General features: G+C 39.0%; 1 protein-coding gene and 1 long non-coding RNA gene across 18 annotated transcripts in view, besides 1 other annotated feature; one reads left to right on the top strand and one right to left on the bottom strand.

Annotated features, from left to right (window-relative positions):
* Window positions 1-22358, bottom strand: part of NCOA7 (nuclear receptor coactivator 7) — a 150920-nt gene that overhangs the window by 112382 nt on the left and 16180 nt on the right. For 16 of the 17 annotated variants that reach the window (XR_007059204.1, XM_047418206.1, XM_047418207.1 and 13 more), the window contains one exon: window positions 4249-4362. Coding sequence is in view for 15 of the 17 variants with exons in the window: in XM_047418206.1 (XP_047274162.1) it covers window positions 4249-4298 (50 nt within the window). In the remaining 2 variants the exon portion in view is untranslated. Of the gene's footprint in view, window positions 1-4248; window positions 4363-15943; window positions 16064-22358 lie in introns of those variants that run through there. The other variant, XM_017010269.2, reaches the window with a different exon arrangement.
* NCOA7-AS1 (NCOA7 antisense RNA 1) lies at window positions 795-21792 on the top strand. Its single transcript, NR_126386.1, has 3 exons — window positions 795-843; window positions 17209-17350; window positions 21488-21792. It is a non-coding gene; the product is annotated as an NCOA7 antisense RNA 1 (long non-coding RNA).
* Window positions 1069-1570: an enhancer, noted in NCBI's record as "H3K27ac-H3K4me1 hESC enhancer chr6:126139229-126139730 (GRCh37/hg19 assembly coordinates)". NCBI's record gives its function as "activates a minimal SCP1, AML or CMV promoter by ChIP-STARR-seq in naive H9 embryonic stem cells {active_cell/tissue: H9 hESC(naive)}" and the evidence as "EXISTENCE:reporter gene assay evidence [ECO:0000049][PMID:30033119]".

Here is a 22358-nt window from a genome sequence, read left to right as displayed (position 1 = left end):
TATAATTTGCTTTAGTAATTCAGTTTTTCATTTGGTTTTCAAGACCTGTCAGGGATCAAGAAATTAATATAGACATATACTAATTTTGCATATATAAATTATTTGCAAAACCATTTGTGAAAAAGTTTCACAAATCATTCAATCTAGATTTAACAACTGTTATAAAACTATCCTGAAGCACCTGAAAACCAGTTGGACCAGGGTCAGAAAATCCAAAAAATTCATCAGGTCTTATCCAGAATTACTCTATCTAGTAGCAGTATTAATCCACCCCTCTATTTAGAGTTACACAGGCATATTTCAAGATAAATTATAAGAAAGGAAAGACTGGGTGACCCTCAAATCACTAATTTCAATCCAAAATTATTAAAATAGGGTATTTTAAACTCTATTTTGATGTTAAAGAGCGAAACGTCAACAAAACAGGTTTGGCAAAGGACTATTTATCAAACACAGTCACACAACGATTATGAAACCACATGATAAGATAGCACACAAAGAAAACATTGGCTATTTAACTACTCAGGAGGAAAAACTAGGTGTTCCTAGTTTTTCCTAGGTGGAAGGGGGAAGCAGGCTAAAAAGCAGTTTTTAGGGTTTCAGATATGTAATTGTGGCAGCAGGCACAGCATCAGGGTAAATCTTCCTTTTGACTTCCTCAGAACACCAGTTGAGATTTATGTAAGGTGGTATAATTTAGTTTAGAGAAAACTGAGATTGCATCAGTTTGGCCTCACCCTTGGCCTGACATTTTATCCTTCTCTCCAGAGATCTTGCTTGGACTGCCCTTAAGTACGCTGCTCCAGAGAACTCTGCTCTACATTGTCAGAAACCAGCTTTCAAGTAAGTTCTGTTGCTAGTTCCACATGGTAATTCCACAGTTAAGTCAGAAGGCATTTGAAAAGATGTATAACTTTGGATGGCTCTTTTCTGATTATAGGCTGAAGGGGGTTCTTTTCTCTTTGGTTTGCCTTTTGCTTTTAATAGCTTGACCATTTCTGGCTTCCACTGCATTGTAAGAGCTAAACTACAGGTTTGTCAGTCAGTGTTTCTCTCTCTGTCTCTTTCTCTCTCTCCCTGCTCCTACCCCCTCTTCTCTCCATTCTCCTCTCTCCATCTCTCTCATTTCCTAGTTACAAATCATGTTGTCTTACTGTCTTAAGAGCATCACTGATTTCATCCTTGTGCCACTGTCCCTATGCTCCCAAGATCACATTTCAGCATTTTAGGATACGTTTTTTGTTTCATTTTTAGAATACTTTTCAGAAGAGGTCATGATAAGCAAGACAATTTTACATTTCTGAGTTGAAAAAACTGTGCTGCTCTTCCAGAACAGTTTTGGTTTGTATTCTCAGTTTCAGGGGCTCCCCTGACTCTACATTTTAGGAACAAGAAGAGGTTAACATTGAGCAGGTTGTTCATGAACCGGCAGTTACCTTTACTACAGGAATCACTTTGGATTCAGGCTGAGAAGGCACTATAGCTCTTAAAATCACTATGTAGGGCAAGTGAAGAAGAAAGAAAAGAAAGAAGAAGAAAGTAAGGAGGAGGAGGAAGGAGGAGGTGGGAGAAAGAAGGAAGGGGGAGAAGCGGGAAGGGGGAGGAGGAAGAAGAGGAGGAAGAGGAGCAGGAAGAGGAGCAGGAAGAAAGGGAGGAGGTGAGGAAGGGAGACGGGGAGGAAGGGGAGGAGAAGCATGACCACCATTTTGACCTAAACTCATATCTTATCCACAAATAAATTCAAAATGGATCACAGACTTAAATATAAAACATAATGCTATAAAATTTTCAGAAAAGAAAAACAGGAGAGAATCTTCAGAACATACAGCTAGGCAAAGAGATCTTAGAATTCAGACCAAAAGCACAATTCATAAAAGGAGAAACTGATAAATTGAACCACATCAAAATTAAAACCTTTTGCTCTGCAACTCTGTTAACTGGATGAAAAGACAAACTACAGTCCGGGAGAAAATATTTGCAAATCACATATCCAACAAAAGACTAGAATGTGTACAATTCAACAGTAAAAACCTAAACAATTCAATTAGAAAATGGGCAAAAGATAGGAAAGGAGATGCCACTAAAGAAGATACACTATGGCTAATAATAAGCACATGAAAATGTTAAACTTCACTAACCATTAAGGAAATACAAATTAAAACCATAATGAGATATCACTACATACTTATCAGAATAGCTAAGATAAAAATAAAAAATATTGACACCACCAAATGACAATGCAGACAAACTGGATTACTCAGACTTTGCTGATGGGAATGTCAAATGTTACAACCATTCCAGAAAAGAGTATTGCACTTTTTTATAAAACTAAAAATACACTTATCTTTTGACCCAGCAATTGCACTCTCAGACAATTATCTCAGGGAAATGAAAACTCATGCTCATACAAAAACTTGTACATAAATGATTGTAGCATCTAGCATCTTTGTTCATAAATAGCCCAAACTGGAAACAACCTAAATGCCCTTCAATGGGTAAATGACTAAAAAGCTGTGATTCATCCATACTATGGAATGCTACTGTGCAATAAAAAGGAACAAACTATCGATACATGCAACAGCTTTGAGGGATGTCAAGGGAGTAATGCTGAAGGGAAGAAAAAGCTAAATGCCAAAGGTTACATACTATATGATTCCATTCACCTAGTATTCTTGAAATGACAAATTATAGTGGTTGTCAGAGGAGGCAGGCAGATGGAAGGAGTGAGTAGGGATACAAAAAGGTAGCATGTGGGATCCTTTTAATGCAACTGTTCTGTATCTTGACTGATGGTGACCACAGAAATCTACATGTGATATAACTGCATGGAACTAAATACACACAAACACACATACAATGAATGCTCTGAATAAGGCTGGTGGATTGTATCAATATGAATTTCCTAGTTGTGATACTGTACTATGGATAAAGAATACAGGGTATCTATTACTCCTTACAACTAACTACATGTGAATCTAAAATTATCTCAAAATAAAAACTTTGGAGATCTTATTTATTCTAAATATCCTATCTTTCTGGTGCCTCATCCATTAGATGCCTGATGTCTTCCTTCCCTAATCTGGTTACTCTCTGTAGTCATAATAGCAGAAAATATTTTACTACAATTGGTAGTTTAACTTGTGCTTCCCCAAAACCTTATTCATGATTTACTATTCCTAACTGGAGCATGCCTTTTGGAGATGGCCTTATGTTTAATACTGACTCTTATGCTGCATGAAATGGACAAAATATTTTCTGAGTCTTAGTTGCATCACTGGTAAAATGGAGATAAATTAACCGATGTCATAGATTTATTTTGAAGGCAATTAAAATAATAAGTAAAACACTCAGTACATAGTAGGTCCTTAAATTGTTTCTGTCCTTTTCCCATTATCAACCTAAAATCTAGCTTAATTACTAGATAAAAACATCAACAACAAACTTTGGTTTTGGCTCCAAGGCTCATGTTTAGAAAATAATAAATGCATCTCTAATGAGCACAGCCTGGGGACTGGGGATGGAATGAGGCTAAATTCAGTTCTTAACATGTATTTCAATTTAGGAGAAACATAATGTTTTTAAGCCTATGTTCTCTGAGTCTGAAAACATTCTGGCTTATCAAAATGTTTTACAAATGTTTAGCATATAATTCATTTTATTATGTTTAGTGAGTGCCACATAGACATTTAAATCTGTAAATGGTAACCAATCATATACTACATTACTTCTATTCAGATATCAACAAATTTATTTATGTTGGACAAGTTCCAGCCTTAAAAATGACTCTGATTCAAAAATATAATTTCACCCATTTCACCTACCTACAAAAATATTTCTTAGTAATAGACTCCCCACAAGGTGATAAGCTTTAAATGTGTCAGAGATTTTCAGTTATAGTCCAACCTATTAAGCTACAGAACAGTAGGAACAAAGCACTTAGGATTTAAAATTCAAGGTAGGTTGCTAAACATGGGATTTGGAGCAATTTGCAGGTCAGAGCATGACAGCTGGATTCGCTGAGCAACACTGGCCTGAGAGAAGTGTCAAAGCTAGAAAGAGAAGAACCAAATGTTACACTCCTCTAATATGAATAAAATGGATGAAGCAAAGTATAGTTTACTTCTCCTGGTTACCTGCTCTATTTATGAACAAGCACAAAACACAAAATGCGAAGTAATACTTGAGGACAAAGTCCCCTCAAATATTTCTTTAAAGTACTGATAACAATTTTGTAAAATGAATGCTTACCGAGCAAAATAACTTTGTTTCCGTTCCTTCTTCTCTTCCTTGGTATCCATAATACACAATCAAAAGTGCAAAGTATTTGAAAAAGTCCCTCTTTTTAATCAGTGAGTCGTAACCCTGTAAGAAAAGATAACAAAGCAACTGTAAACTTAAAAGTTTACACTGGCCAATGTGAAAAATAAAATGGAGTAGAACTACATGGACTAAAACAAATGAAAAATAAACTTTAACCAGGAAACAGTCACATGAGTCAAATATGAAATGCAAATGTCCATGGGAGAAACTACAATCAGAATGGAGATGTTAAACTATAAAGCAAAACCTGATGGAAAACCAAACTGCAGTATTTTCCTCACAACTAACAACTATTTTAAAACATGCCAAAATAAAAACCTTCACTGACTTTGGAAGATTGTAGCCTAACTATGTAGATGCTAATTATTTAAAAAAAAATTGAACTCATAATCACTCTTCCCAAGCAATTAATAAGGCATATGTCTCAGATAATTATGTAAAATGGCTCACTTAGGTGTTTTACAAGAATGTTTTTTTAAAAAAATAAAAATAACTTCAGCACTCTATTTTATTTTCGGAAACATGCCAGCAAGTACATCCCACTTGAGCAAATGTGGAAATGAAAGTACAAAGACACAGGAAGCTGTTCCTCAGCATGGCTTTAAACCCTTGCGTCTCCCTCTTCTCCACCCCTGCGACCCTCACCCACGCTTGCCAGCAGTGGCTTAAGCCTATAATATAAAAAAAGGTTGTCTCCAGATCAAGCTTCCTCAAATACCACTTTTATCATGCCACTCCCCTGCTCAAAAATTTCCAATTGTCTACTTATTCAGTGATTCACCAGTCTAAATTTCTGCAGAGCACTAACATTCCTAAAATTTGTCCTTTCACCCTGAAGCAATAGTTTGTTCACCTATCAAATTTAAATCAAAAAAAGCAGGCTGTGCGGTGGCTCACACCTGTAATCCCAGCACTTTGGGAGGCCGAGGCAGGCAGAACACTTGAGATTGGTAGTTTGAGACCGGCCTGGCCAACAGGGTGAAACCACATCTCTACCAAAAATACCAAAAATTAGACAGGCATGGTGGTGCACGCCTGCAGTCCCAGCTACTCCGGAGGTTGAGGCGCGAGAATCGCTTGAACTCAGGAGGCAGAGGTTGCAGTGAGCCAAGATGGCACCACCGCACTCCAGCCTGGGTAACAAAGGGAGACTCTGTCTCAAAAAAAAATTAGTAAATATAAATAAATAAAGCAAAGTGTATTCACAATCAAAATTATTTACTAATTCATTTCAATTCAATAAACAAATTAATCCACAATACATACTACATGAAAGGGAGTGTGATAAGTCCCAGAGGTCAAAGATAAAGACATGATATTTGCTCTAACAGTATATATTGTCTTTCAGGAGAGACACTTAGGATTTCAAGACAATGTGATATGTACTGCTGAAAAATAGACCTCAGGAATACTTAATTAGCTAAATTTAGCCATTTTCTAATGTATATTTTCAAAATATCATTAAAAAAACATATATATAATTTCTATTTGCCAATTAAAAACAAATAACACTTAACACTATGCAAGGCCCACCCCAGGTATCCTGAGCACACACTAAGGTTGTAGGTTAAGAATGGATTTCCGGCCAGGCGCAGGGGCTCACACCTGTAATCCCAGCACTTTGGGAGGCCGAGGTGGGTGGATCACCTGAGGTCAGGAGTTCGGGACCAGCCTGGCCAACATAGTGAAACCCCATCTCTCTAAAAATACAAAAATTAGCCGGGCGTGGTGGCAGGTGCCTGTAATCCCAGCACTTGGGAGGCTGAGGCAGGAGAATCATTTGAACCTGGGAGGCGGAGGTTGCAGTGAGCCGAGACCACTCCATTGCACTCCAGCCTGGGCAACAAGAGCAAAACTCCGTCTAAAAAAAAAAAAAAAAAAAATTGCATTTCCCAGGTAAAGGGTACGAGCAAGCAGGTTTCAATTGAACAAAAGCAAGAAGACAAAATTGTTCCCTTCTGTTCCAGGGTAAAGTGAGCTGAGGATGAAGACATGGGCAGGATCTGGGTCACGGAAAGCCTTGTATGCTGCTCTAAGGAGCTTGGACTTAATCCTAGCTGGCTATGTGCAGCCCACCCCCTTCACTGCACCTTGTCAGAGGCCATCAATTGCTCATGCTGAACCCAGCGGCAGCATTTGCAGAGCCATTACCAAATCCATCAGAGCTGGTCCATGAGATAAAACTAATTTTCTCATCCCCAAGGTACATGGAAGGGCGCCACCAGAGGGTTCTCCATGAGGGAGTGTAGCATAATCAGACGGCAGAGGTAGAGGATTGACGTGAGAGGATTTAAGGACAGGGTGAAGTAGATTCATTAAAAAGAAATTACAGTCAAACTAATTGAGGGAGGAGCACCCAAAACTAGGCAGCAGTAGTTGACATAGAAAGAGGAGGGATGGACTCAAGAAATACTTAGGAGACTGATGAGTTGACATTTGATGAGTCATGCAGTGTAGATAACAAGGAAAGTAAGGAATGAAGGATGTCCTCCAAGTTTCTGCTTCAGGAACTGCGTGGGTTACGGCACCGAAGATCTAGTACAATATACATGAAAAGGGCAGGCTGCATGTAGGACAGGGGAGCAGAAGGAGGTAAGAAATCGGTTGTGGACATTGTGCCTTTGAGACGGCTATGGGATAGTGGAGTTGGAGACATTCACCAGACGTTTGATTACACTGAAAGCACAGAAGGGCAGTGAAGGCTAGAGGAAAGGAATTAGAAATTATCAGCATATGCTTGTGGTTAGGAAGAAAAGGAGAAAAAACAATATGATGATGAGATCACCTTGGAAGCCTGACAACTATTCATTCAGCCCTGTACAGAAACATGGGAGTACACAGTCTCAGCTCTTACTAGTTTATCTTCACATCCCTGACTTGGGCTTCACCCTCAAAGAGTTTTCCATCCAGTCAGGAAAATATGACTGTGCAGATAACTAAACTGTAGGGTAGTAACTTGGGGCTGTCCAATGAATAATACTAAGTAAGAATCCAAAAGATGTGAAGTTCAATTCTGCTTGAGGTGATAAACCTTTCAGAGTGGTTAGGATTTCAATGGGTAAAGTGGTTAGGATTTCAATTCCAGAAAGTAGGAATGCCAGAGCAAAGGGATAGAAGTGAAAGGGGCTAGGCACACTCAGGCAAGGAAAGCATGGCTACCAGGTACGGAAAGGGAACTAATCTTGATGCCTGCCTACCAACAGCCATTTACTTCAACATATTATCCCTATGTTATCTTTTTATCTTTCAACCACACTATGATTTAGATGTCCTTATTTCCATTAAACTGATGCTGAGAGGTACTAATTAATTTCCTTAATTCAACAGCACTAGCTGTGGTGCGGCAGCAATTTAAATCCAGTCTGGTATACACTCCAGTGTCTTTCAATAACCTTTGGAGCCAGAAAGCATTTGGAGATGAGCTAGAAAAAGTAGTCCGGAGTCAACAACATCCAATGCTGCAGCACAGAATTCGCAAGTTAAGGCACATGTACCTAGCCACTGGGACAGGGAGGTCATTGAGGACCTCCAACGGGACTGCATTAGTGACGTATTGGGAGTGGAAGCCATGCTACCATGAGTTGGGGTAGTTAGTACTCATTCAAGAATTCGAGTGCAAGGAGAAAGAAGAAAAAGGAAAGATGGCGGCTGAGTGTCTAACTCTCATGAGCTCAGTTTCACACTGTGGTTTGAACCCCCTGGGCGTCTCCCCAACTCTGCACCTTTATCCTCACTCTTTCCTCAGGCACGAGGCAACCTTGCTAGGCTCCTCCTTCTGACAAGGCCCAATTCTACTTCAAAGCCTTCCCTGACCACTTGTGTGCGCTCCTCTCCCCTAAAGAGCTTATTTCATATATCACCTATAACTTACTGCAAGGCACTTAATCATATACTGTGTGACAACAGCATTTCAATTAGTCTCCTCGCCCCAACCATAAATTCCTTCAAGTCAAATAACACCAAGTTTCACTTTTACTATACTTCCCTAAATAACTGGCACATAAGTAGGCAGAAAATCCATATAAAAGCTAAGCAAGGAGGTAAATTAATCCAGGACTGGGGATAACGTCAATTATATGGCAGACCAATACAAATCCAAAAATTCCTCCCAAATTAAGAATTACTTAGGGATGGAGGATGGAGTCTCATGCCAGCCTCCCTCAGACTCCAGGAAAGATCAGAATCCTAGGCTCTCTGCCCTGCCCTGGGTCAGGTGGTTTATTTTAAAGTTCATCTCCTACATGTTACAAAAGCAATGATTTCTATTAAATTTCCAGTCATGAATAAAAATTAAGTTACAGCAATCTAATTGGAAAATTTTTATACTGCAAGATGAGCCAGAAACTAATATTTGGTTCAAGTAGAAAAATATTAATGAAAATATGCACAAGAGAAAAAGATTAAATGATCCAATAGTTGACATCTGGTGCTGCTGTGTCTGATTACAACCAGTAAGGCTTTTTTTATTTTTCAATATCCTATTAGGTAAATGAAAAATATGCTAATCTTTGGTTTAAGTTTCTGGAAATTTTTGTATTCCCTAAACATGATAGATGCAGTTCTTACAGGTTTAGACACACCAACAGATTAACCAGAAGGAGCTCAGTAGAGAATGCTATAAAAATGATTTGCACAGAACACCACACTGCAGCCTTCATGCTTCAGTGAAGAACCAGAGCTCCTTAAATCAGTCTCTAATGGGAACTACATTTTCCATTATAAGTGGTCATAATGGGCTTCTTAAAAGCCCTTCATTCATTTAATGTTGACTTTCCTTCATTCAATACACTCTAGACTCATCTAAATGCTGACTTCTAAGAGTCTCCTGCATTTATGGTGTATTGCAGACCAAAAAGAATTTCACGAGAAAGCACAAGATGAATCTTCCATCTAAATATTTTTTTTTGCAATCTTAAATCAGGATAGTCAATTAAACTTAAATCCAGTTCATTATTCAAATAAAAATAGCACATAAAAATCCTTACCTCAAAAGAGCTGTGATGAAGACAAAGTATTTTTTGAATCATCAGAAAAGTGTTCCTTGTTTGTACACATGGCACCATTTAAAAGAACAGAACCAGCAGAGACCCCTTAACTACACCAAACTGACCCACACAGCTGTGGGTCACACAGCTGGAGGTCCTCAATGACCTCCCTGTCCCAGTGGCTAGGTACATGTGTCTTAACTTGCAAATTCTGTGCTGCAGCACTGGATGTTGTTGACTCCGGACTACTTTTTCTAGCTCATCCCCAAATGCTTTCTGGCTCCAAAGGTTATTGAAAGACACTGGAGTGTACACCAGACTGGATTTAAATAACTGCCGTACCACAGCTAGTGCTGTTGAATTCAGGAAATTAATTAATACCTCTCAGCCTGTCAGCTGTGGGTCACACAGCTGTGGACCCACATAGCAAAGCATGGCTTTTTGGATTCACCTCCAACACACTGCAGTTCCTTGAATATTCAAGTATAACAAGTCAGGACTAGAAAAACAGCAGTATATCCATGAGGCCCATCAGCTGTTTTCCCAACAACATGTTTCTTAATATACAAATGAAATGATGTCAGGAGTACACATTGAGGCTTGGTCACACTGTGTTTGGTCACGTAAGGAACAGATCAAAATGGACCTTTCTATGCAGGCATTTCCTCCTAGAAAATAGTTATATTTATACCAAAATATGACAGGTGTTCAGTCTCTCAAAGCCACACTGTCATCTAAACAAAGCAAAAATATTCAAATTTCAATGTTACACAAGGTCAGAAATTTGAACACTCCCTGTAACAGTAGAGAAACCTGGGAAGGACGCAGAACCAGATACAAACGTGTGCCACAAACTTACAAGGGTACCCAGACGCAGTGGCTCATGCCTATATTCCCAGCACTTTGGGAGGCTGAAGCAGGTGGAAGGCTTGAGGTCAGGAGTTCAAGACCAGCCTATCCAACATGGCAAAACTCCATCTCTACTAAAAACACAAAAAGTAGCCAGACGTGGTGGCACATGCCTGGTGTCCCAGCTACGCAGGTAGCTGAGGCACGAGATCAACCTGAGAGGCGGAGGTTGCAGTGAGCCTAGATTGCACCACTGCACTCCAGCCTGGGCGTCAGAGAGAGACTCTCTCTCAAAAAAAAACAAAAAACAACTTAAAGGAGAGCAATCAGATAATACCCCCCAAATAAATAAATACATGTTACAAAAACAATGCAACAACAACAAAAAAACAAAAATGAATGATTCAGCAACAAACAACTAAAAAGTTATTCCTGAAGCAAGGTGATGATCAAGGATGGGCTCCGGATCTGCTATTCGGGAAAGGGTTTGACATCTTTGCATGGCAAAATGAATGGAGAACTCATCAACTCCTATTCCATTATTCTCTGCCTAGGGTGCTCAAATTTGACCTGAGAAAAATTAAACAAATGTGAGTTTCCTTGCCCTTTTACCTAAGATGAGTCAAGAGATGCCATCAAATCTCCTACATACTCTAAATGAAGACCCATCTCTGGGCTAGACAGATCATTTTATAAGTTCTCTCTTAGAAAAGAACATGCAAATGAGATTTCTAAAAAGTCACTGGCAGGGTGAAGAACTGCAGAAGGTGTAGAAAATGCCAGAAGCCTGAAAACAGACAAATGCATTTTAGTTTAGAAAGGGTAATTGTGCAAACTATACACTGAAGCATATCATCACATAGATTCCCAGGAAAATTTTAGAAATGATCATTTAAGGCAGTTTGGTAAGAAAACAGAGGGAGGGAGCTGTGGACCCTGAGATCTAGAATGATCCCACAAAGCCAACAATTCAGCAGGACAAGTGGATCACTTTTGGAAACATCTATCACGGACCAAGTATTCTGCTGCAGACACAAAGATGAAGACAGCATTCATCAGCCAGGAAGCTCAGGAAGAAGAGGCAACTATAACTTATCAGCTGATTAAATGAGATGTGGTGAGTGCTCTGATACTAGTGGTCACAAGGAACCACACAGCACAGAGCACTGAGCAACTTACGCTGCCTCAAAGGGAAGGAGTGTCCCAGCAATGTCACAGGTGATGCCAGTGCTGGGCTGGGAAGGAGATGCAGGAGTTTCCCAGACCGTGAATGCAGAAGAGGTCAGGCTCATCAGGCAGAATGAGGATGTGCAAGCCACTGGCAGGAATGTGTGGTGTTCGGGGAATCCTGAGTGATCTGGTAAGGCTGGAGTGCAAGGGCTGGTAGACGAGAGGACATTCAGGGAATGCTGGCTTAGTCAAATCACACTGTCCTAATTTCCCTCCCTGACATAGCTGCTATTCTAGTGGATCAGGAAAATGAGGAAAACACATGTAACTGCACTTAAGAGGCATTTGATAGATTTCTCTTGTCTGCTTATGGATAAGATGGAGAAATGTGGGTTGGGTGTGTAGGTAGATGTTTATATGATTAAATGAATAAAGGAAATCACTGAATCACTGTACCAAGAGGTATGTGTTGACTGACTGACCAACCTCAGTTGCTCTGAGAGCTGAAATCCATTCTGAACCTGGAGGGAGAAGATTAATAGCTTAATGCAGTATTTTTTCTTATGCCCTGTCCTCATGAGTATATTTCCCACTGACTTGAACAAAAATATAGAGGCCTCCCTTATCAGCCATTTGGAGACGTAGGTACTTAATAACATCCTGGATAGCAGCATTAGGGTTCAAAAGCCCTCGGCTGTCTGTAGAAAGGAGTCAATTATTATAAGGTGGAAATTTACCCCACATGAATCTGATGTTTTACTGGTGAGGTACTAAGAAATGAGAGCGGTACAGTTTAGTGTTAGTGCAAGTGAATATGATTCATATCTGGAAGATTCATATATGGAATTACAGTTGGGTAATTCCACTGTGCACCTTCCTCCCCCTCACCTCGAAAAAACCCACTAGTGCTATCAACCCAGAATAAACAGATTATAATAGTCTGTCATACCCTTTTTGAGGATTAGACTACATCAAGATTATTGCATTTAGCTAGGGATCTCACACTATAGGGAAATTAGAACAAACAGGATGGTTAAATGGCATGAAACTAGATTTTAAGAATATTAGTCAAAGGAGTTGGTCAGGAGAGAAGACTTGGATTAAATGACAGCTGTTTTTAAACATCTGAAGGATCTTTATCTAATAGATGATTTAGGCTTGATAGACAGATCTTCAAGGGGTATACCTAGAATTAGACATTAGATATGGAGGGAGAGAGGTCGGTGGCTCAGTATAAGGAAGAACTGTCTGAGAGGTAGGTGCAAACAGCTGCCTGCAGATGGAATGGCTTCCTCATCTTCAAGAGTGACAGGGCACATACTGAGCAACCGTTTTATATGACTACTGTAGAAACGCAGTTCTCAGCCTTATCAAATTCAACACCTCACCTAAATAAATATGTAAAGCATTTTATTATACGCCCTTCATAATATTGAGATGAAATTCATAGATCATGTAACCTACTTACACACTTAATTTTATAAAATCATCATGATGCCCCAAAGGAAAGTACTTGATCACAGGTATTTCAATATGTAAATTCTCAGACATAAGTTCATTAGAAGACATAATATAGATTCATATTGCTCCTACAGAAGAAGATACGAAATTCCCAAGTACAAGGGTCAATTCTTCATTTTCTTGGACTGCCTCACTCATTGCAGGGCATTTGGCACCTCTGCTTGCCCCCAACTAAATGCCAGTAGCGCCCTTCCCACAACCACGCCAACCAAAATGCCCCAGGAAAGGGTACCACAACCAATGAGAATCACTATTAAGAGGAAAATCAAGCCCCACGGGTAAACTAGTATTTTAAATTAGCTTTTAAATTAAATGTTTTTAATTTCAAAAATTCCCTTAAAGCCGAGATTTTATAAACTTCATATACCTGAGAAGTTCTGTTTTCCATATGCTCTGTGATTCATCTGAATAACACTTAACCCATGCTATTAAGGCAGAAGGGTACCTTTTATTTATTTATTTATTTTGAGAAGGAGTCTCACTCTGTCATCCAGGCGGGAGTGCAGTGCCACGATCTCGGCTCACGGTAATCCCCCCCTCCTGGGTTCAAGTGATTCTCCTGCCTCAGCCTCCCAAGTAGCTGGGATTATAGGCACCTGCCACCATGCCCAGCTAATTTTTGTATTTTTAGTAGAGATGGGGTTTTGCCATGTTGGCCAGGTTGGTCTTGAACTACTGACTTCAGGTGATCTGCCCACCTCAGCCTCCCAAAGTGCTGGGATTACAGGTGTGAGCCATTGTGCCCGGCTGAAAGGTACCTTTAAAGTAAGACAGGCCTGGTTAAAATCCAGACTCCACCACCTACAAGGTATGTAGCCTTGGGTAAGTTACCTAATTTCTCTAACTTTCAGTTTCTTTATCTGCAAAAGGGCTGTTACAGAGACTCAATGTGTAAAAAAATCAATGACTAGAATCTGGTGCCCCATGGAACAGAAAATTCTATCCATTGAGATTTCCATGCATCCAAATATGCAAGTGTTCATGAAATACCATTTTCAATACCACCTGAAGAGCCACATTCAAATCCGCCCCAAATAGTAAACTAACAAGCCAGGCAGACCTAGTGAATACAAAGATGACAGGAAACAGTTAAATATTTATTGAACATTAACCATATGCACCAAATTTTTTGTTCAGTACTGTTACACACACTGCTTGGTTTAATCTTTATGACTGCATGAGGGAGTTAATCTCAATTCTTTCCAGATAAAGAGTCTGAACTTTAGAACAATTAAAGAATTTATTCAAGGTCAAATAGCCATAAGAGTTACAGCCAGAATGATCAGCTCTGTCTGACCCCAAAGAAGGAACCACTAATAATGGCCTGTAAGGGTGGGCTATTACTACACATAATTTTCACATCAATGCCTGGTTCTTCCTGGATTTAACCACAGTTAAAAAGAACAAGACAGGGGCTGGGCACAGTGGCTCATGTCTGTAATCCCAGCACTTTGGCAGGCTGAGGCGGGTGGATCACCTGAGGTCAGGAGTTCGAGGCCACCCTGATCAACATGGTGAAACCTCATCTCTACTAAAAATACAAAAATTAGCCAGCATGATGGCGCATTCCTGTAATTCCAGCTACTCAGGAGGCTGAGGCAGGAGAATTGCTTGAACCTGGGAAGCACAGGTTGCAATGAGCCGAGATCGTGCCATTGCATTCCAGCCTGGGCGACGGAGCGAGACTCTGTCAAAAAAAAAAAAAAAAAAAAAAAAAAAAGAACAAGAGGGTGAACCCAGCTTTATGGCCAACTGTCTTTAAGGATGTAAATACTGACCTGTATTCAGGTTAGCCATTACTATTCATACTAAATGCACTTTAGTAAACATGTCAGTACATTCAACAACTATTTATTGCACTGAGTAGGTTTTTAAAGAGCTAACCGGAAAGCACATTCTCTTAATTCACTAAATTAATTACCCCTTACGTTTTGAGAACAGAAGAAACCAATCTATTTCCTCACAGAAAATGGAATTGGTAAATACAGACAGTCAGAATTTGGAATTTTTCTTTTTTTAAAAAAAAATTTATTTCTTTGTTTCTCTTAAATTATGAAAGCCATCTTTTTTCTAAGCACTAAAATTATAGCTCATTTTTAGAATTAAAAATTTATAGTTCTATAACATTTCTACCAAATATTTTTAATATATTGAATGCATTCTCTCATTAATACTCATAAGGTATAAGTCAGTTTTGAAGTTTTCTACCTGCACACAAAGATTAGAAGGGCCAAATCTGCATTGTCATACAGAAAGTTACTGGAGGTAATGAAAACAGAACAATCTATCTGCTGATCTCATCTCCTAGTCATAAGAGACATCCTCTTTCTCACCATCAATCACTACTGGGTACCTGTGACATGCTTTTGATTACCTGTCACAAGAGGTGTGAAAAATATGATGCCTGCCTCACCCACAGTGGAGTTTCTGGAGATACCCCCTACTATGCTGTGGCACCAGAAGATCACTTCAGATCATCTCTAAGACAAATCTAAAGACATTAGGCTCCAAGTAGCATCAATAAACAGGAGACATGGAAAGAAAGTTTGTTTTCAATTACTTCTGGAATTCATTTTAATACTAACAGACAGATTCATTCCTAAAACCATAGACTCTCTGGCCCGTTTGATTTTTTTGCAGACATATTCTAGCTCCGGTCCAAAGAAAATAAGCTGCAAACTTCTGGAGTCTCTAGACTGGTACAGAACTCAATCTCATTATCCAAATCCTTGCAGAGAATATGTGCCAATGTGAATCACTGTGCCAGGGCCCTGTGCTCACAGTAAATGCCATCATGGATGCATGTGTCCTGGTCTTAGACTGGGTCCCAATGCATCAATTTCAGGAGAGGAAAAAAAAAAAATGTGAGCAGTAGTTACCACTACTACTATTACTACTTATTACTATTTGTTGGGGGCTACTTTGTGGATCTGAATTAAGAGTTAACTGATAAAACCAACAAAATTGGATAGATGAAAGGCGTTAAAAGATAAATGGAATGCCTTTCCAAAAACATACAGTATATAAATAGCAAACACTACTTTTCAAGAATTAAATTTGAGTGTCTTCTGAGATGTTATCAGTGAGAGACAATTTACCATTAAACTGCCATTTCACTAAAGAAAAGGCCATGTACTTCTTTGCCTTCTGTGGATGAGATCTGCAATTGAATGCATTTTCAAAATATACTGGCATACATTCATACCTGTAAAAATGCAAAATAAAATAACTGAATTATCATTTTTTTAATGTGCTTTCAGCATATTTACATGGAGAGTATGTGGCAATAAACAACTTATGCTTACTCCTAAATAGTGCCTTGTAATATATTTATGAGTAATTTTCTTCAATTCAGTAAGCACTTAGAACCTGTTTTGTGCCTACAACTGTACTATTTATCTGAAGCCTGTGACTATAAAAAGGACCCAATGTGCTCTAAAGAAACTTCAATTTTTGACAAGGGAGATAAGATTTACATAAAATAATCAGGAAACAGGGGCATGAAAAAGTTATGCCAAATAAAACGTATGACACACAGAGGAAGTGCTAATGGGAAGTAAGAAAATGGCTGGGTCACACGGACCAGTGCTGGTAGGGAAAGTCTTAAAAGTGGGACATCCCTGAAAACCACAATTCAGGGTTATATTTCAATAGTGCCACACAATCAACAATGAAATCTGTAAACCAGAAACAGTCTTATCCCCAGTGAAAATGTTCTCTATCAGAGCACACTCAAGACAAAAGCAATTCTACCAGATTCTGCCTCAGATGTCTTGGTAACAACAGAGAGAGGCATGTAGTATTGTGGTTAGCAAAATATGGACTGTGGTAAATACACAAACGTGGGTTCGGGAACAAGACATAAGAAAAAGTGTCTAAGCAGCAGGGAATATGCCAAGTGTGAAACTAAATCAGCATGGAGAAGTGCAAGGATCTCTTCTTGGAAAAAAAAATTATGTGTGTAATATTCAACTATAAATTTCTAGCAGACTGGGTTAAGAAATCAAGTCTATGGTATACGTTCTTTTTCTTTTTAAGGTTTATTGAGTTGCTTGTCATAAAACTTGTAGAATTCAAAAGAAAATGGCTTTTTGGTAGACTGGATTGTTGTTCCTTATTAGGCACTTCTTCCCTTGCTGTAAGATAATTATACATCCGTACCCTTTGCTGTGCAGCTCTGTGATGCTTTGCACTAGTACACAGAGTATATGACCCCATCTGATTTTTCATGTGACTTGTTTTGACCAATAGACTGTGAGGATTAACAGTCATATTCATATTGACTTGAAGCACTGAGAGACCTGGCAAGTTTCTGCTCTCCACCAGCAGAGTATGCTCCAGGTAGCTGCTTTTCCCTCTTCAGCTTGGGTTCCAGGATGAAGACATGTGGAACAGAACCCGAACTTGAACCTCAGCTTTGGCATCCGGCTTAACCTTTGCCAAGGCCAGCCTGCAGAACCCAGCCAGGAGTAGCTAAACCACAGTCAACCTGCAAATCCATGAAGGTGAAATACATATTTGTGTATATAACCCACTGCGGTTTGGAGACAATTATGCAACATTATCACAACAAAAAACCCAATACACCCTTAGAACCATCCTGATCCACAAATTACTTCATGGAGTCTTACCAGAAAGATCAAAACCACATAGTACATATTATTGTTTATATGAATAATTCTACCAAGGCCTGAGATATCAAAGCCCGGAGACAAGACAACTGACAAAAATAGCAGAGGAGGCTTCATTTTCTTCCAGTTGTCATTTACCCCATAACCACTTTGCATGGCTATGGGGTCTTAGCTGAGAAGGCATCATTTGACAAGACATTGTGCATTGTCTTGGTATATCTATACGTAATGGTTGATATTACTTACTGTTATAGGTTAAATTATAGCATTCCAAAAAAGATATGTTGAAGTTATAATCCTCAGTACTCCAGAATGTGATCTTATTTGGAAATACAGTTAGTTAAGATGAAATCACACTGGAGTGGTGTGGTGCCCTAATCCAGTATGACTGGAATCCCCATAAGAAGATGGCCATGTAGTGATAGAGACACAAAAGGAGAATGCCATGTAGACACAGGCCACACTTGGAGCTATACCGCTGCAAGCTAAGGAACTCCAAGGTCCAGCAAACCAACAGAAGTTAGGAAGAGAAAAGGAAGGATTCTTCTACCAGTTTCAGCGGGAACACGGCCCTGCTGACACCTTGATTTTGAACATCTAGCTTCCAGAAAGTGAGAAAATACATGTTTAAAGCCACCAGCTTCTGGTACTTTGTCATGGCTCCCCTAAGAAACTAATACACTAATTTTAAATTACTTTTATACACTATCACTGTTGCAATAGGATACTGCTCCAAAAACTTTATTACTTTCCCAACATGTCCATTCTGCCACGTTCTCTTATAATTTAAAGGAAATGCAGGCATGTCATTAAGAAAATTGGTAAACATTATTTACCAATTGCCTCCTGGGCCTGGATGTTAACTCGATGAGCTTTCTGTTCATCCAGTTAACATCTGAGCCCAGGAGACAATTCAAGCACAGCTTATTTGGGTAGATGGACTAAGAACTGACCTGATTATCAAAGAATTATTTTATCCTGCAAGAGTCTTTGGAACATTCTGAGAATGCAGCATCACCATGTACTATGCCACTTCTATCACGCTTTCTATAGCAATTTTACACTAACAAACTCATACTGCTAAGTTTCTCAGCGCACACTTATGCTACCTTGTGTCATTTTCTTTATGTTATTTCTTTTTTGAGATGGCGTCTCACTCTGTCACTCAGGCTGGAATGCAGTGGCACGATCTCAGCTCACTGCAGCCTCTGCCTCACTCGTTCAAGCGATTCTCCTGCCTCACTGCCTCACACTCCCCAGTAGCTGGGATTACAGGCGCGTGCCCCGACACCTGCCTAATTTTTGTATTTTTAGTAGAGACAGGGTTTCACCATGTTGGCCAGGCTGGTCTTGAACTCTTGACCTCAAGTGATCCACCTGCCTTGGCCTCCCAAAATGTTGGAATTACAGGCGTGAGCCACCACACCTGGCCCCTTGTGTCATTTTATAATTATTGTTCCTTATGCCCACATTCCTTCCAATCAGACTGTAAACTCTCTAAAGGCAAGGAATGTGTCTTATGCTGTTCATCCATGCAGAGTTATGTACACTAACACACATCACAACTCTTTGTTTAGGCTGGACACAGAATTTATGTTTAATAAGTTGATTTTTGACTTGTTATGGCTAAGTAACAGAAACTGACTTCAGGTTATGAAACGGTAAGGTCTTGCCTTTTATTTAGATTAGTGGTCTCCACTTTTTATTCCACATCAATAAAAGTATCTGAGCATAAAACTCTAATTACTTTTACTTATAAAAACATGTCCTCTGTACTAATAATTATAAGGCACATAACTAAAACAGAAGTCATGAAAATAAAGACATTCCAACAATTTCTTTCTGTACCTTCATGTGGTACATGAACTTCACTTTAGAAACCACCAGTCTAGACTATGACAGCAGATATGTGACAACATTCCCTGGGATTTGGTCCTTTCCAGAAAATGCAAGATCTATAAAATTCTAACACTTTTATAAACTTAATAATTCTCTGACAGATTCACAAAATTGTCTAGATCAAACAAGCAATATTTTAAAATTGATAGTGTTGTCTTTGCAACCAGGATTAATTTGTATATTATATTACTAGCCCCCTATTATAAATGCATTTGCTAACTGTGGTGCTCTCTGCAATTAAACCCTTTAAGTTTCAGATGTTAGAAATGAAAATCTATTATCAGGTCTTCAGGCAAATATCTGTAAGACTGAGAACCTAAATGATATAACATTCTGATTTTGAAAACAAGGAAAATAGAAGGATGAGCAAAGGGGATCATGAAACAGAACACTCATACGTTATCTCTAAGAATGTCATCAACACAACAACATCCGATTTTCCTGTGTTCTATGTGCATGTGGATAATGCTATGCTAGAAAATAGAAGGACATTGAGTAATATAAAACACAACTTCTATAAGCTTACTATAAGAACTGGCCCGGCAAAGCGGTTCATGTCTGTAAACCCAGCACTTTGGGAGGCTGAGGAGGGCGGATCATTTGAGGCCAGGAGTTCGAGACCAGCCTGACCAACCAGGTGAAACCCCGTCTCTACTAAAAATACAAAAAAATTAGCTGGGCGTGGTGGTGCATGCCTATAGTCCCAGCTATTCCAAAGGTTGACTCAGGAGAATTGCTTGAACCCAGGAGGCGGAGGTTGCAGTGAGCCGAGATAGCGCCACTGCATTCCAGCCTGGGCGACAGAGCGAGATTCTATCAAAAAAAAAAAAAAAAGAACAACTAAGCAATAAAGTAAGCCAATATTTAGTTCATTTGTGGCACAAATGCTTAAGTGCCAAAAGAACTGAAGTCAGCATACAATAGATGGGTTGGAAAGTATTCATGGAATTAAGTATAAACCTGGTGTGGAAGACTGATTTTAAAGGAAGAAATGTGGAGGGAAATTCCAGCTAGCAAGGACAGCAAAGGCTTGGGAGGCAGGAATTACTCTCCTGTATGTGTGGGATTACTGAGGATTCTGACCCCACTGAAGTGCCAAGTTCATGCAGGGGAAGAGTGGAAGAGCAGGCTGAGTGCATGAAATGTAGAGAGGACACAGTGCCATCATCATCTAAGCCACATTCTTGGGATTAAACTTCCAGGAGAAAGCCACCACCACTAAAATCTCTTCAGTCATTTTACTTGGTCTGCTTATTCTTGAAGAAACAGGCTTGGGGCTGATCTATACCTAAAGCAAGAGAGCTAAATGCAAGAAAATACCAAGCAGATGATGCGTGGGTGAAGATTTTGAGGAAGTGAAATATTAGTAGCTTTAAAAGGAGGAAGAGAAAGTACAATATGTCAAAATGAATATGCATTTGCTTTAAAAAAGTCAAAAATATAAAAATCGGATGATACATAATTGTAATAATGTTCAATAATTATCATTATAATACATATGGATACCAAATAAAAATGTGAAAAAGAAAAACATAAATCTCTTATAATCCCATTAGTGAGAAAAAAGTAAGTTTGTCACTTTCCTGTTTTCTATGCAAATGCATCTTAAAATCAAATTAGAATTTTTTGTATATACTGTTTATGTTTAACTCAGTTATTATAAACATCTCCCATATAATTAAATATTGTTCAAAATCATTATTTTAATGGCTAAATATCTTATATACATTTACTATCACTTAAAAAATGACTCTACTGTTGAATTTTTCTCAAATTTTTACAGTAACACCCTTGATAATAACTAATACTTAGATAGTTGCTTACTCTGTGCCAGGCAAGGTTCCAAGTACTTTACATAAATTAATTTACCTAATTCTCTGTACAATGTAGGAGGTAGATACTATTATTATCTTCATTTGACAGATGAGAAAACTCAAAGTGTGGAGAAAATAACTTCCTAACTGCACAGAGGTGGTAACTGGTGGAACAGGATTCCAAGCCACATAAGTGGCTCTGGCATTCCTGCTTTTAACCTTTCTACTATATCAGTAGCCTCTCAGAGATCATGGGCTCATCACGGAACTTCAGCTTCATGTCTGATTGTTTCCTTAGGATATACTCAGAGAAGAATCACGAGTGCCAAGAGAGACCATGAGGCAAACTGCTCTCCATTGAAGGTATACCAGCCTACCCTTCGTGAGCTAAACACAACCTCACTCTTGCCAGCATTGTAACTGACTTTTTAAATCTAGTAATCTGCACTTCTTTGATGCCATGAAGTCAGTATTATTTTCATGTCTTGGCCATCTTAAGTTCCTGTTTTGTGAATATTCTATTCCTATTCCTTGTTATAAAGGTTTTCAGAGTTAAGACATGTTAAATAGAAATTATTTTGGAAGGTTCTGTGATTCAAAATATCAAAGAGTATTGCTGACTAGTTGTTTCAGTGGGACCCTACAGACAGGCAGAACCCTGGGGGAAATCACCGGAAACTAGGGATGAGGGCTCAGCTGTAAACACCTGCAACCACAGAACTGAGCAGACCTTCCCAGCAGACCCATGAATAGCCTGAAATTGAGATTTATCCCATACTGCAGGGGTGACACTTATCCAATGGCTAGAATATTTATCACTGCTACTCAGAGCACTCTCACTTCATGATATCAGCATGCCTGGGGAAACAAGTCAATAAATTCAATGTTTGTGTAGCGAGGCCAGAATCACAGAAGAAACATGAAAGCTCTTAAGGGATCTCAGACCTTTGGATTCATCTCACAAATTATTTCTATTCTATAAGGCATACCTGGTTAGTGATAAGAATAACCCACTAGTCAGAAATTCCACATGAACAGTGTTGAACAAACACTATTAAACTCTTATTTTCTAAATCCTCTGTTAATCAGCTATCAAAAGCAAATTACCTCATGCCAGGTACTTTGCAATAAAAACCAAGCACTTAAGGCCTCTGATTACTTGGGTTGGA

Source organism: Homo sapiens, chromosome 6 (assembly GCF_000001405.40).
Source record: "Homo sapiens chromosome 6, GRCh38.p14 Primary Assembly".
Taxonomy (NCBI): Eukaryota; Metazoa; Chordata; class Mammalia; order Primates; family Hominidae; genus Homo; species Homo sapiens.
Note: the sequence above shows the minus strand (reverse complement) of the source record. Positions and strands in the feature narration are given on the sequence as shown.